Raw genomic sequence first — 17256 nt, forward strand, 5'->3', positions numbered from 1 at the left:
TAGGAATTTGAGGGAGGAGTAAGAAAGATAAGGAAAAAATGTAGGGGCATGAAAAAAATCAGAGACTTCATTCCATTTATTTTCAGTGCTTTTATTATACCACCATATTCCCGGATTTAATCTTACTATATATTAACCAAAGGTCTTTCAGGATGGGGTCTGATTTAGTATTGTGAAGACACTGGTTTTTATTCTTTGGGTTCATGAAGGTAACAGTCTTAATTTCTAAATAAAATATTTTCCCATCAATAGCCATATCTAAATGTGCTGATATGAAGCAATCTTTAAGGTATAATACTAAGTGAAATCAAAGAGCAAGCAGTGTGTATGTTTTCATATGTGTTCAAAAGGAAAACGGACTCGCACACACATATTCTCATATGCAGAGAGGTTCGGGAGTCAGGCTGCCTGGGCTCAAGTCTTAACTCAGTTCTTACTGTCTCTGTGGCCTTTGGTAAGTCACTTAACGTACCTAAACCCCAGTCTCTTCATCTAGAATATATGGATGATAATAGGGTACAGGGAAGGAGTTAATGAGGTGAAATAACCACTAATAAATGTCAGCTACTATTATGATCATGATTATTTTATGGATGGACGTTTTATAGGAGAATTGAAAAGAAAATGTTAACACTGGTTGCCTACAGAGAGTATTGAAGGTCTTGAGATGAAAGGAAGACTATTTTTAAAAAAAAATACAGTGGGGTGGTGGGGTAACATGTGCACTTCCTGGAAGTGAGCAATGACTGTGCCACAGTGATGTCTGCCTACTTAATACACAGACAGAAATTTATACCACCCTCTGTTTATATTACAAGATTGACCTTTTAGAGGGTTTGTTCCAAGAACAGATCTTGTCACAGGAACACACCATCCCCACATTAAAACAAAGCCACAAATGCTATGGTGCTGAAAAGACAGAAATGTCCTTTATGTGTAATACGCTCACTCACACGTCAAACAGGTTAGGATACACTATCATCAAAAGACAAATATAAACAAACAGCTAGGGTCCTACAGATAAATACCTGTATGTAGAAAGGAATTCCAGCACTGCGCCTTGTAGCACAGAGTTTAGATGAAGGATCACTGCATTTAATTTCCTCTAAAACACTCCATAGCCACTGTTCTGGCAGCTTTTGCAGACTCACATTTGGGCACCTAAAAGGCATATATAATCAAATATTCGGAATTAGGTATCAAAGTTAAAAGTACAAACTATTGATGCACATTTACACTGTTAGTAAATAATAAATATCCTTATATTGAGTGGGGGTGAAACTAAAACATGTCTCATACTTTTCACCTACTTTCCTCTTTATTATGGGTCTTAAGATCTAAAGATTTCATTTCTAACAACTGCAGTGTTTAAAGCATGTGTCTTGTCTGCAAAATAAATTTTGATACATGGGTTTGCATCCACACTCAAAATATTCAGGAAAAGGTTGATCATGGTCTCACAGATATTTCATACTATACAACTCAAGATTTCCAACAAAGAGAATATAAGTTTATAGTTTACTATAATTTATGTTCTATGTTTATAGGGATTACACATATTCAAAGAAAACACATTTTAAACTGTATTTTAGTAATCATTTTCATCTCTCTCAAAATGAGGCCTACCACAAAATTTTCAACCAGATCCTCTGGAGAATTAAAGCAATTTATCTGGGAAGAGGCATAAACATTTTGAGGCGATTTGAACATTACATCAGTGAGCTTCTGCATTATTACATTAAGCGCTATCTTAGAGTGCTCAAGTACATTTAATTTTTATAAAATTTTTAAATGTATGCCCTACTAGACTGTATAACATTGCCCAAGGAATACCAAATTCAGTGGTAGGTAGACACAATTATCTTAGCAAGGTAGTACCTGGTTTTAACTGAAATTAATATATGAAAATTTACAGATAAAGTCCAAAGGAAAAACACTCTTTTTTAAGTTGAGGAAGAAAAGTTGCAGAAAGATAACTGATTTCCAATTTACAGTGAGAATTAGATCTCTTAGGAACATTGGGATTTTTTTTTCTTTATTCTAGTTTGGTGTAAAACAGATAACTTCAGTTACTGACTAAACATTCTAAATAGCAACTCAGATTCAGCTATATGTTTCACATAGAACAAAATATATAAATAAGACTACTTTAAAGGAGGCATTTTTTAAAGTTTGACATGGGCCTAAAAATATTATTTCAGTCATAAAAGTTACAATTACATCTCCCTACTACTAGCAGGCTCTGTGATTCTAAAGATTTCCTTTTAGCATATCTTAAAATCCATCACCTCACCCTTGCTTCTTCGACACTCCTGTCCTCAGCCACCAAAACCAGCTATCAAAACTCCCAACCACTAGATTAAAAAAGATTCAGAGACATAACAACCAAATGTAGTGTGTGAACCTTGCTTAGATCTTGATTTGAACAATGAAATGTAAAACAGACACTGTCAAGTAACAGAGGAAATTTATATACGTACTAGATAATAGATAACATCAAGAAATTCTTTATAAAATGTGCCACTGCACTGTGAACATGGAACAAAGTTTCCATATTTTTAGAGATGCATACTGAGTACATAGGAATAAAAATCACAAATCGGGGATGTGTTTTAGAATACTTCAGCAAACAACAATAAAAAGGGATAGATGAAGCAGTTGTGACTCAACTTTGATCACTATTGAATTTGGATGATGGGTAAAGGTCGCTTATTATTCTCTCTACTTTTAAATATATGTGATATACATATACACAAATACACACGTTTATGTGTTTGGAATTTTTCATAATGAAAATAATTGCCCCACACTTTTGTATTTTTAAGGATTGAGGTTACTTCCCAAGCACTAGATTTTATATCTTTTTAAATTAAGATAAATGTCTTGTGTTTTGTGAAATAATTTCTCTATTAATAATATTGCCAGCTTGATATAATCCTCACACAGTTGACCAATCAAAAACTGAAATCCAAATTCCTAAGAGTAATTACTTAAGTGCTAATGATATAGATTACTGCCTTCTTTTGTTCCTTCTTCACTGTAAAAAAAAAAAAAAAAAAAAATTGGGCCGGGTGAGCACAGTGGCTCACACCTGTAATCCCAGCATTTTGGGAGGCTGAGGCGGGAGGATCACCTGAGGTCAGGAGTTCAAGACCACCTTGGCCAACATGATGAAACCCTATCTCTACTAAAAATACAAAAATTAGCCAGGTGTGGTGGCGGGCACCTGTAATCCCAGCTACTCGGGAGGCTGAAGCAGGAGAATCGCTTGAACTCAGGAAGCAGAGACTGCAGCGAGCCAAGATGGCGCCACTGCACTCTAGCCTGGGTGACACAGCAAGACTCCATCTCAAAAAAAACTAAAAAAATTTAAAAAAAAAAAAGCAAAAATTTTTTTTTGGTGATTTAGCTACCTAAGAAGAAAAGAAGCTGGAATTATAGAGGTGAATAAGGTAAAGAGTACTTGATCTAATATCTGTGGGCTTAATTTATACTTGCATTTTCTTCCTAGAACCATGGGAAAGTTAAAACCAGCTTATAGATAATGCTACAGTCTAAGGTCGTCTCCTGTAGGGGATTTGCTACGTAGGAAAAACTAAGGGGAAGAACGAACTGCAGGACATGAGAGGTACTTTCCTATTTCCTTAATTTCCTAAGTGTGCTGAAATACAAATACACTAAATACTAGTTCAATAATGCTCCTCAACTGTCAGTGGGCCTCCCCTGGGCCTCCCTGAGTGAGCCCGCAGAGGCTGTGGCAAAACCAACCACTCCAAGAAGGCAGGTCTGGAATGAGAGTAGAACATCTCACTATGCATCACCCTTCCCTGCATGAACTTTCAGTGGCTCTTGACTATTAACCAAATCATCTAACTCCTCTTCTAACTTTGTCAAACTCTCCTAGCTTGAAAGGTTGCCTATGACCTGGACCCAACCCTCCTACTTAAATCTAACCTTAACTTTTCCAAGTTCCTACACAAACTCCTCTGGTCTAGTAAGACTGTTTTTTGCTGGTTCTCATACTAACATACAACACACACACCTCATATTCCCAACTAAGCATTCGTTTATGGTCTCCACACATATCCCTATTCATCCAAACTGATGAAACTTCCTCCAAATACTGCATCTCACGAGGACTTTTCCTTTCTCTAAACTTCCAATTAACTTGAAGCAACTACTAGGTATTAGGCGTACATGGGATCAGTACAGTGTCATGGAAGGGCTGGAATCTGAACTAGACTTTGAAGGACATGTAGGTCGAATGGTGGAAGGTCCATATATGAGAGCTGAGGAAGTAAAAGATGAGATGACTGGGGAAAGAGCTAGGTCAAGGCCCCAGAGGCAATTCCCTAATTTAAACACTTGGCTAGTATAACTGTAAACAGTGAACTGGGCCTATTTATTCCCTTGAGTATTGCATACTAAGAACCAAATGCTCCTTGTTAATTTGCAGAATTTGAAAACAGAGGCCAGAAGAATGCTCTACAAGGTCAAGGCTGGCAAAATGCCATCGATAGAGCCATCTCTGCCCACTGCACCATGGACCCAGGAACCTCATGAGCTCTGGGAAATGCTCAAGGCACCAGCTCCTACCATCTAGTCCAAACCTTCTTATTCTGCTCTGGAATTCCCCAGCATCAAACCAGCTTTTACGCAGAATTCTTTACTTATCTGGTTTCCAGTGTGAACTCTACCACCGGTTCCCATTCCTCTGATTCCCTTGCTTCTCAGCTCTGCACCTCTCCCAGGCAAGTCCTGACCTCAAAGCCATACAAGGGAATTTGGTCCAATAATGGAACTTCCACCCTCCCTTTTTACTAAAATTAAACATACTACATTTTAAACAAAATCTACTTACAAGTTTTTTGTTTGTTTGTTTTTGTTTTGTTTTGTTTTTGAGACGAAATTTCACTCTTCTTGCCCAGGTTGGAGTGCAATGGCGCGATCTTGCCTCACTGCAACCTCCGCCTCCCAGATTCAAGTGATTCTCCTGCCTCAGCCTCCTGAGTAGCTGGGATTACAGGCATGGGCCACCACGCCCAGCTAACTTTGTATTTTTAGTAGAGATGGGGTTTCCCCATGTTGGTCGGGCTGATCTCGAACTCCCAACCTCAGGTGATCCGCCTGCCTCGGCCTCCCAAAGTGCTGGGATTACAGGCGTGAGCCACCGCACCCGGCCACAAGTTTTATTTAAACTATCATACTGGAAATATATTTGCCTGCCACAAAGGAAAGAAAAACAAATATTCGTTGGATGTCTATTACACGTCTGGTACGACACCAGGCTTTTCACAGCTGCTCTTACTTCATTCTTGGAACAAACTATGAGAAAGTTATTTTTCCCAACTAACAGATGAGAGGGAATATATCACAGTGGTTAGGAACACAGATTATGGACCCGTGTTATCTGGTTTAGAATCCTTTCTCTGCTACCTAGTAGCTGTACAATCCAAGGCAATTTACTAAATTTCTCCATTTTCTCACTTTGCTCTTCTATAAAATGACAGTTTTTGGAAGGATTGAGTTTGTTCTTATGTCTAATAAGTTCTTAATGGTCATTTTCTAAAATCATCGGTTATTATGAGAAAAGCAAGTATTAAAAGTTTCAATTGAAATGATAGAGATGAAACAGCTGAGTTTCCATTTTGACAGGACATCCCCCTACAATGCAAGTTAATGTTAACAATATGCAAAATATACAAATAGAAACCCCAAAACCAGCTGAGTCCAAAAGCAAGATAATCATCTGGGTAAAAATGAACAGAAATGCAAAGTAGTGAGTGTGCTGATACCAGAGACCCAAGAGTTACAGATTTAGAAGCAGTAGTGGCAGCCAAAGAATTTCAGCAGCCTCATCTCTTTTGAGAAGAACCTGAAAAAGGGCTACTGCCAGAGCTGCCTGAGGCTGTAGCAGTAGGAAAAGCCAAGGGCACAGGGGGCCTCTGAATCAGGCTGACTACTAACTCAGTGACTAGATCTATGATATCCCCAATTTCACTGTGAAGGGGGACACCCAAAATACCACTACCTAATCTAGTTCCTCTGATAGAGAGGAAAGAGCCTAGAAAGAGATCAGTAAACAAAAGGCTCCCATCATAGCCAGTGAGCCAAAATTCAAAATATAGAAATAAATTTTATATTAAGAAAGACAACCTAAAAAAATCAGTAATAACACACATTCACTCTATATGAAACTAATTTTATGGAGCAGTCTGACAAAAACCTTAAAATAACTATGTTTAGGATACTGAAGTGATAAATAAGGGAATAACTTCTATTTAAGAAGAGTTAACTGGGCATGGTGGCTCACATCTGTAGTCTCAGCAACTCAGGAGGCTAAAGCAGGAAGATCACTTGAGCCCAGGAATTCAGGGCTACAGTGAGTTATGATGACACCACTAGACTCCAGTGTGGATGACACAGTGAGACACTGTCCCTTAAAAAAAAAAAAAATAAAGAACAAGAAATCATGAAAAACAAGCCGTAGTGAAATAAGAACAGGCATGTATAAAAATAAAAAAGACTAGAAATAAAAGTGTACTTTCAGCCAAGCACGGTGGCTCACGCCTGTAATCCCAGCACTTTGGAAGGACGAGGCAGGCAGATCACGTGAGCTCTGGAGTTTGAGACCAGCCTGGGCAACATGGTGAAACACTATCTCTACAAAAAAATACAAAAATTAGCTGGGCATGGTGGCACTTGCCTGTAGTCTCAGCTACTTGGGAGGCTGAGGTGGGAGGATCGCTTGAGCCCAAGAGGCAGAGGTTGCAGTGAGCTGAGATCATGCCAAGGCACTCCAGCCTGGGTGACAGAGTGAGACCCTGTCTTAAAAAATATATATATAATATATAATATATATAATATACATAATATATACGTATATTTTATATATAATATATAATATACATAATATGTATATTTTATACACAATATAAATAATATACATAACATATATGTATATTTTATATATGTATATTTTATATATATTTTATATATTTTATATATATGTATATTTTATATATAATATATATATTGTATATAATAATATATAATATATTATATTATATATAATATATATAATATATATATAAATATATATTATATATAATATGTATAATATATAATATTTTATATATAATATGTATAATATATATTTTATATATAATAATATGTACAATATATATTTTATATATAATAATATGTACAATATATATTTTATATATAATAATATGTACAATATATATTTTATGTATAATATGTATAATATATATTTTATGTATAATATATATTTTATGTATAATATATATTTTACGTATATTTTATATATAATATATAATATTTTATATATAATATATAACATTTTATATATAATATATAATATTATATATATTATATATTTTATATATAATATATATAAATATATATATTTTATATATAATATATTTTATATATAATATATATAAATATATATATTATATATAATATATTTTATATATAATATATTTTATATATAATATATAATATATTTTATATATTATATATAATATATTATATATTATATATAATATATTATATATAATATATAATATATAATATATTATATATAATATATAATATATAATATATTATATATAATATATAATATATAATATATAATATATTATATATAATATATAATATGTAATATATAATATTTTATATATAATATATAATATAATATATAATATTTTATATATAATATATAATATATAATATATAATATTTTATATATAATATATATAAACTATATATACACACACACATATAAAACAGATAAGATGAATTCTAACGAATTCGTGACTTAGAAGATAGTTTTCTGGGAAATTTACCCAAAACAGTATACAGAATGAAAAAACCATAAAGTATGTGTGTGTATATACATAACGATAGTTCCATACCTGGAAAAAGCATAGCAAAATTGTGATTAATAAAAAAACTTACAAGCCACAGGAGATTTAAAGGAAAAAAAACTGGAGATCTACAAAGGAACATCAATTATACCAAACACAAGTTTCTCACTGGCAATAACAAAAGCAGTGAAGGAAAACAACTGTCCACCAGAATTGTATACCCCGTTAAAGTACATTCAAAAGCATAGGTAAGAAAAAGACAATCTGAAATATACAAAGATTAAGTCTGCCTTCCAGAGACTCTCACCAAAAGAAATTCTAAAGGATGTACTTCAACAAAGTACACCTAAAGTAGTTTCAATGGGGTGTCTACTAGACATGCCAAACTTAACATGCCCCAAACTAAACTCCTGATCTTCCTCCAAAAACCTACTCTACCCACAGTCTTGCCCATCCTAATAAAAGAATAACAAATCGATCTCTTCAGGGGCTCAAGCCAAAAACTTTGTAGTTATGCTCTCTCTCTCAAATAGCAAATCTAATCTGTCAACAAACCTTGCCTGCTCTATCTTCACGTTACATCCAGATTCAGATCACGTTTTACTTCCTCCACCACTTTCCAAGTCATCACTATCTCTTTTCTGTAGTATAGCAATATTGTAACTAATCGGTCTTTCTGTTTTCACTATTATAGTCTATTATCAACACAGAAGTAAGAGTAATCCTTTTAAAAGATGAGATCATGTCACTCCTCTGTTCACAAACACTCCAATGGCTCCCCATTTTACTCAGAGTAAAAGCCAAAGTTCTTACACAATGTCTTAGGCTGTCTAGTCCTCACAACTTCTCTGATCTCATCTACAACTCTTTCCTATGCTCACACTACTCCAGTCATAATTGGTTTACCTGATGTTCCTTAAATACCTACCCTAAGCCCAAGCCTCTCAGGACTTTTTCACCTGACATTCTCTCTGCCGTGAATACTCTTCCTCCAGGTATTTACATCGTGGTTGTACAACTGCTAATTTTAGTATTCACTATACCTTCTAGTACATGCAAATATTTCACACTAATGTTTAAAAATTGGGTAAAATAAGGGGGTAGAAGAGACGGAAGCTAAATAATTTGCTCAAGGTTACATAGCAAGTACGTGGCAGAGGGAGAATTAAAATGTATATTGACACCAAAGCCCTTGCCTAATAAAAAGGCATTATTTCAATGTGCCTGCCCTAAATGCTCAGATCTGGCTCATGATGAAAATACTATCAACTCTCTAATATTTGTTTTAGTGAATTTCACTATTTTATTTTTTAAAGAGATCTATCAGGTAGCTAGTGGTTGCTTTGCACTATGCTATGTCCTAAAAATAGAACCGCAGAATAAAAATTCCAAAGGGCACGTGATTTACAAAATGTTTTCATGTGGCTTTGGAATGTATTACCAGAGAATACAATTTTTAAGATATTAACTTCCTGATCATGTTTTATTCAGGTTACTTTTCAGATTGATTTCATTCCCTGAACATCTACCATTGGGGTGGGGGTTAAAGTATTAATAGTTCTAAATGAACTGGGTGACATGAATAGAGAGCTAGCTAGAAAATTAAAATACTCTACAGAAAAGCCACTCAGTAGATAACCTTTTTGTGACTGACTTGAATTGAATTGTGTCTCATTTGTTTTCGAGGTACCCCCACTCCCTTAGGGAACTGGGGAAGTTTATTACTATTAATAAACTGCTTTCTTATATTAACTGAATGATTCATGGTAGCCTGAAGAAATTACTTCACCTGCAAACACAAAGCAATTAATTTCACATTTAAATATGAAGTACATTTAAAGCCAACGTATTGAAGCAAAATTCCCAGAAAAGACTCAAACTGCCAGGAAGGTAATTTGTATAACCTCAACTGAGTAAGGGTAAGCCTCTGCCAATATCTTTATTTACCAAACAATAGTTTACTTACAAAGCACAAGAAGGAAGAAAATCCTTTCCCTTTCCCATAAACACAGACTTTCACTTTGTTAGGTTAAAGAACAAAGTGGCAGCTTAGAAAGGAATAGTATACTTTCTGGGAACAGAAACTTTATGTCCATTTATTTTACACATCCATGAAGTTTCTCATTTTTTCATCCAGTCCCCTCCCCGCTTCCATGCAACTCTATCAAACGCACGTGCACTTCATTTGCTCGTAATCTTGAAGTTACCTACTAGGGTCCATAAATATTAATGTGTGTACCATTTCCAAGATACCTTCTATTTTTATATACATGTGGTTGGAGACTCTCAGAAAACACAAAGATTTCCCAGGGAGCAAAAAATCCAAACTCATCCTGGCTCACAAAGCCCTACGTATCTGGACAATCTCATTAAACTTTATCTTACACCATTCTGTTCTTTAATACACCATAGATTTTGGCGTTAGTGGTTCTCATTGCTTGGAAAGCTCTTCTCCAGAAAAGGTGCTGCTTCTTGCCATTCAGGCCCTGGCTGAAATATTACTTTAGTCTAGTAGGAAAGAATCTTCCTTACCACCAAACTTTATCACATAAAAACACACACTGCTAGCAGATAGTTTATTATTTTCTACATCTCCATGTATCAAGGACACATTCCTTCCTGTTATTTCTCTATTCCCAGCACCTATAACACGGCCTGATACCCTATAGGGAGCTCAATAAATATTTGTTGAATAAATGAATGACATATAATTTACTAACTTCATTGAATATGGCAGTCTAACAAACCAGGTTGACAAAGAAAGAGGGTATAATAACTAGAAAAGAAAGTACAAACAAAAATGTTTTCCAATGAGAAGTGCCACTGTTAAGAGCCAGCAGTTGATGCAGCTGCTTAGCTTCCTGTAACACGTACAAACACATTCAGCAAATCTCCACATACCAGGGTTATAGTATTCATACAAGAATATTTCCTACTGAAATCCCCAAACAGCTTACCAAAATCAACTCTATTAACCTAACTGCTACCCCAAGAGATCATTTTTTCTCTAAGACCCAAGAACAAAACCAAGTACAGGGTTCAAAAGCAAGTATAGTTCAGGTTCATGTAAAAGTGTTATTTAACCGAGGTTTGTACACTTATGAACACAGAGTAGAAACTATGTTTCATATGAGCAATGTCTCTGAGTTTTAACAATAGTTATAAAATTTAATTCAAGATGATAACTTTTTCCTTTCTTTCTTAAGCCTCTTTAGGAGATCTCCTCTAGGCCCATAGCTTCATCTATTTCCTCTGTTTGGCTGACTTTCAAACATATACCTCCAGCTGGAGTGAACAACTGTCCCTATTTGCCTGGGACTAAAGGATTTCCCAGAATGCTGGACATTTACTGCTAAAATATTGGGGGAGTCCCAGGTCACACTATCTCCAACCTGGACCCCTCTGCTAATCTCCTGACCTGTATTTCCAACTGTCTGCTATCCCGCTAGGCAGCCTCCCAAAACTACCTTTAACTCAGCATGTTTAAAGCATTATTCTCCCTCCCATCATGCCCTCCTGCTTGCCTTGCTTTTTGCCAATGTTATTGGCATTAATTATTCTTCTCATCACCTAGGATAGACAGTTCAGTGAGCGGATCTTTGTCTTGGTCTTTAACGTCTGTCTTGTAAATTATGTGACTTACTTATCTAATCCCAAAGATTAAAATGCTAGGTTGAAAGTTCCTCTAAAAACAAGGCCCATGTTTTATCAATATTTTTATCCTAGCTATCACAATTCCTTATAGAAAGCAATAATCAATAAACTTTTGTTAAACTGCTAACCTCTGAAATGCTATGAAATTCCAGAAAAACATTTAGATTCTAGTGCTGGCTCAATCACCAACTACATGTGTAGCTATAGATAAATCACTTGATTCTCAGTGCTTTAGAATGAAAATAAAATAAAAATGCTTTGAAAATTCAATGAACATTCCCTGGGTTATATAGAGAAGATAATGACTCTAAAATACATAAGTAGTTCCTGATGAGAATGTCCCCAAAACTCCTCATCATGGTCCCATACAATCCTTAGTCCCTTATTCAAGTCCTCACATCCCTCTCTTACTTCCACAGTTATATGTTTCCTATTTAGACTCTGGTAATTATGTCTAGGTTCACAGTAACTGTGGCCTACCATATCATATTCTCAATGGTCAAAGAGAGCTCAGTCAAACACAGCATCTGGCACACAGTAGATGTTTAAGAAATCTTTTGTTGAATAATTAAGGAGCAACTAGTGCTGGTGCCAGCTGGCGCACATTAGCTGTGCCTGCAGGTAGGCATAAAATTGACAAACCAGGTATAAAAAGCAGGGAGCTGGAACCCTAAGTCTTCTCAATAGTGAGGTCACTGTGCCTATAAAAAGCAGAATAGAGTTCTGACTATTCAATGAACCTTCTGTCTGCTCCCCAGCAAGGAAAGATTTCTTTATAAGGAAGTGATTTCAAAACTCCAGGGTTGCTGGTGTTTATGATAATGAAGGAATTGAGAGGTAAAAATGAAACCATGCAAGGTTCCCAAGAACAATACAGCAAACCCTAGTTGTTTGTTTTGGTTCTTCATCACACAATCCAGGGCCTAGCAAGGATATAAAAAGAAAGGTTCTCGAGTGAAACAGTCCTTGGTTCTTTGAGCCAACTCTATGTAGTCACCAACCACAGCTATGGGGAATTCCAAAATCCTGCTTTTGTTAGTGAATGCCTTTCCACTAAATAAGCAGACAGCCTCTTGTCTGAAGGTATTTTGTTTTTATTTGGCTATCTTGTCGAATTAATACAAAATATACAGTGTCTTTAGCCTCTGAGTACATTGTAAAATTGCAACCTTCTTAAAAGGGGTTCAAGGTTCATCATAAACAACTCAGTAACACAAAATGTTATTAATCTACAAAATATGGCCAGGCGCGGTGGCTCATGCTTGTAATCCCAACACTTTGGGAAGCCAAGGCCGGAGGATCTCTTGATCTCAGGAGTTGGAGACCAGCCTGGGCAACACGGCACAAGCCCATCTCTACAAAAAATACAAAGAAATTAGCCAGGCATGGTGGTGCACACCTGTAGTCCCAGCTACTCAGGAAGCTGAGGTGAGAGGACTGCTTGAGCCCAGGAGGTTGAGGCTGCAATGAGCCAATATCACACCACTGTGCTCCAGCCTAGGCAAAAGAGTAAGACCCTATCTCAAATATTTATACGTATATATATATACACACACACACACACACACACACACACACATATATATCAACAACAACAACAACAAACGGTTTACCAGTTCTCAAGGAAGCTTACTAAAAATGTATCCAGCTTCCCTCAGTCTTTTATATCCAAAATCCTGACTTTCCCAATCAGAACCTAGAAAGCAGCACGGTATGAAGAGTAGAAATTCTTAAAGAAGGAGGGAGGGAGGGAAGAAAAAAGAAAGGGAAGGAGGGAGGGAGGGAGGGAAGAAGGAAGGGAGGAAGGGAGGGAGGAAGGGAGGAAAGGGAGGAAAGGGAGGGAAGGGAGGGAAGGGAGGGAAGGAATGAAGGGAAGGAAGGGAAGGAAGAGAAGGAAGGGAAGGATAGGAAGGGAAGGAAGGGAAGGGAGGAAAGAGAGGGAAGGGAGGGAAGGTAGGGAAGGGAGGGAAGGTAGGGAAGGGAGGGAAGGAAGGGAAGGAAAGGAGGGAGGGAGGGAAGAAGGAAGGAAAGAGGGAAGGAAAGAGGGCAGGAGGGCAGGCAGACAAGAAGGCAGGCAGGCAGGCAGATGCACAAAAAGAGGTAGGGAGGGCCGGGCGTGGTGGCTCACTCCTGTAATCCAGCACTTTGGGAGGCCGAGGCAGGTGGATCACCTGAGGTCAGGAGTTCAAGACTGGCCTGGCCAACATGGCGAAACCCAGTCTCTATAAAAATACAAAAAAATTAGCCTGGCATATTGGTTTGCTCTTGTAATCCCAGCTACTCGGGAGGCTGAGGTGGGAGATTCACTTGAACCCGGGAGACAGAGGTTGCAGTGAGCCGAGATTGCACCACTGCACTCCAGCCTGGGCGACAGAGCAAGACTCCAGCTCAAAAAAAAGGTAAGGGGTTTGTTGTTGCTGTTTTCCTATGCTAAGTGCTATGGCCTAAGCCCCTACTAAAAGTAACAGAAGTGAACAGGCCAGGCTATAGCTGCTATTCAGGCCTTTGTATTGTCTTGAGCAGATCACTGAAGCAAATTATTGTTCCATAAACAGATTACTCCAACTCCTATCCACAGAGCTATCTCACTCCCACTGGATAAGTATTCTAAGATAAGAATAAAACCCGCAGACTAAAATCAAATTACATAAGCTGTATACCCAACTAACTGGTCATTAGACAATTATTTTGTACCAATAAATCCGATTCCCTGACTACAAAGTGGCTTTTAAATGGCTTCATCCATCCAACTACATGTAGTAGCACAGAGCTATTTTTAACTTATATTACTATTGCTAACTGAGAAATGTCACCTTCATTTCCTCAAACTCTTTCAGTATGATTTATTTTTTCTAACTTAGAGATTTTCCCAATCTCTAATTATTTCATAAGCTAAATTCCCATTCAACTCCATTCAATCTTTGGTCAAGTATTATATTTATTATTTCAAAGTTCATGTTTATTATTTCAATGAAACTAAACACTAATAGATGTGTGCAGGAAGGTTGTTTGCATGTATATTTTAAATAGGAACACAACCCTGAAGCACCAGGAAACTTTAAGCCTGAAAAATGATTTGCCCAAATGAAATCCTGTTAGAAAGCTACATATCAAGAGAAGCCATCTTAACCTCCCTCACCACTATCATACATTATTGAGGCTTACTGCAGGCTAAAACATTAGGGGGCTATTTTGAAGACTTAGCTGCAGGCACAGGCAATAATACAATGACCAAATCTAAATTGAATTACCAATCAGAGGGCCATGGGGAGAAGGACAAGATACAGTGGATTAAAAGAAGTCATTGGAAGATGTACCAGATAGCTGGTTCTCTCAATTATTTAATATAATCATTCCCTAAGATCAAGGAGAAAAATTAATATTAAAAAAATTCTAAAACTTTACTTAAAAAGCTGGCATAGAGGTTACTCACTGAGAACAAAGTCCCTCTGCTATTGTCTAAATGACAAAGTGTTATTATGAAAACTTTTTAAATGAGTGTTCAAATATCGAGGAAAAACAGTAATATCTGACTCAACTATTACAGTAGGCTTAAAAATGAAAATAAAAATGCAGGAATCATTAACAAACACTTAGAATGTATACATCAAGACATTCTAGTTTTCTCCAAATTCTTTTAATCCACAATAGAAAAGGGAAATTAAAAGGATTTTTCTCTCTATAAAGAATATGGCTCCCCAGGCAAGATCGCGCCACTGCAGTCCAGCCTGGGCAACACAGCGAGACTCCATCTCAACAAAACAAAACAAAAAAAAGAATATGGCTCCCCAAGGTGGCTCATCTCTTAGTTATTCTTTATTTAATTATTCATATTTCAAATAAAATTAATAGGACACTCAGTGAGAAATAGTGTCTTATTTAGACACATTTCCCAAATGAAATGTAAATAAAAGTTTAGGCTGGGCGCGGTGGCTCATGTCCGTAATCCCAGCACTTTGGAAGGCTGAGGTGGGATACTGCTTGAGCCCAGGAGTTCGAGACCAGCCTAAGCAACATGGCGAAACCCCATCTCTACAAAAAATACAAAAATTAGCTGGGCATGGTGGCAGACACCCGTAAGTCCTAGCTACTTGGGAGGCTGAGACAGATTCTGATCACTTAAGCCAGGAGGCAGAAGTTGCAATGAGCCAAGATCATGCCACTGCACTCCAGCCTTGGCAACAGAGAGATTCTGTCTCAAATAAATAAATTAAATTAAAAATAAAGTTTACACAAGATTGTATATTCTTTCATTCAAAGCTGAATGACTCTTCCCCAAATCTTATATATTACATTCTGCATTTATTTATTTCTCAACTGCATATTCTTTAGAGACTTGGTCTTTCATTCTCCAGAAAGGTAGAAGAAATTATTTTTTCAGTATTATATTTAAATTGCTCATCAAAAGTTTTCTGTTGAATTTGAATCATGGTAGCTATAATTAACTGATGAAAGTTTAAATACATATTTAAATGATTTCTGTCCACAGAATTGTTGATGTCTATGAGTCAGTACTAGTATTTAATGACAAAAACTACTAAATGTCACAATTTAATTTTTTCAGGCCAATAATGTGAAAATGATTATAATTACTGCAATAAATATCTGTAGATTAAGCTACATTACAAGTAAAGCAATTCGAATATTTGAAGAGTAAGACAACATCAAGCACTAATAAATCTCCCTTCTAGATTTAGAATTATAATCAATGATTTTATCCCCTTATAGTTAAGTTTGTATCTTACGGTTGGACAAATTAAAGTTGGATTCCCAACTTAACATCCTAGAAGTCTGTTCATTTTCATCAGAAGAACGACTTCAAATAATAAGATCACAGAAAGTAAACAAGCAAATATGAATGTCACCAAAAAGTTGAATTTAGAGTTTTATGACATTAACAAACTTAACCACTCCAATCAAATGCTTAGACAAGTAATTATGCACAGGCAAGCAATGATGTTTTTTAAGGAGAACAGGAATATTTCACTGACTTCTAAATAGAAAGCACGACATAAAAAAATCAGATTACAGAAAATTAACTCAACACACTATTTGTGTTATGTGTGTTGCAAGTGTTGCTTTCAAAACATTCCCAGAAAAAGTAACAATGTCTCCATCCCTATTTATTCTTAGATGATTGTTTAATAGTGAAGTCAGTTTATATTTGAAGACATTTTGCATAATCCTATTAAAAACCAATTCAAACAATGTGGGTCATGTTTAACTCTTCAGTTATTTATCCATTAATCTCTTTAAGTGCTTCCTTCCTTAACACAGCTGTAGTTCAAGAGGTGGCCAGCAGTTGGCCTCCATTTCTGTGGATTTTCATGAATGCCCAGATTTCTTTTTGCAAACTTTTTAAATGTTGTATGCCTAAACAACTTTTTCATAACTTAAGGGCTTATAAAACGCTCTCAAAAGGGCTCCAAAAGAAACAAATTTTCTTTTAAAAATAAAAACCAAACAAAAGGAAGCCACACACACTGTAAAGATGTTCTCTGCAAAACATTCTGTTCAGCAGATTTGAAATGTCTCTAAAGGGATCAAGAACTACTTGGTTTGAAAGCAACAGCTGAGAACTCCTAACAGGTTGGTTAAAAGCCAACAGTAACAGCCATGAGAAAATCTTTAAACTAGATTAGGAGGGGCTAAGATACCAGGCATTGGGCATTCCCTAGTCTCCCCGCTCCATTTATTCGGAATGCCTTCA

At 36.2% G+C, this 17256-nt stretch overlaps 1 protein-coding gene across 7 annotated transcripts in view, besides 2 other annotated features; it reads right to left on the reverse strand.

Moving 5' to 3' along the window:
• Positions 1 to 17256, reverse strand: part of THADA (THADA armadillo repeat containing) — a 365188-nt gene that overhangs the window by 276769 nt on the left and 71163 nt on the right. For all 7 annotated transcript variants that reach the window (NR_073394.2, NR_144316.2, NM_001345924.2 and 4 more), the window contains one exon: positions 1029 to 1161. Coding sequence is in view for 5 of the 7 variants with exons in the window: in NM_001345924.2 (NP_001332853.1) it covers positions 1029 to 1161 (133 nt within the window). In the remaining 2 variants the exon portion in view is untranslated. The remainder of the gene's footprint in view (positions 1 to 1028; positions 1162 to 17256) is intronic.
• Positions 5760 to 5809: an enhancer, noted in NCBI's record as "active region_15678". NCBI's record gives its function as "activates an Ori minimal core promoter by ATAC-STARR-seq in GM12878 lymphoblastoid cells {active_cell/tissue: GM12878}" and the evidence as "EXISTENCE:reporter gene assay evidence [ECO:0000049][PMID:35858748]".
• Positions 5820 to 5869: an enhancer, noted in NCBI's record as "active region_15679". NCBI's record gives its function as "activates an Ori minimal core promoter by ATAC-STARR-seq in GM12878 lymphoblastoid cells {active_cell/tissue: GM12878}" and the evidence as "EXISTENCE:reporter gene assay evidence [ECO:0000049][PMID:35858748]".

The sequence above is a fragment of the Homo sapiens genome, chromosome 2 (assembly GCF_000001405.40).
Source record: "Homo sapiens chromosome 2, GRCh38.p14 Primary Assembly".
NCBI classification, from domain to species: domain Eukaryota; kingdom Metazoa; phylum Chordata; class Mammalia; order Primates; family Hominidae; genus Homo; species Homo sapiens.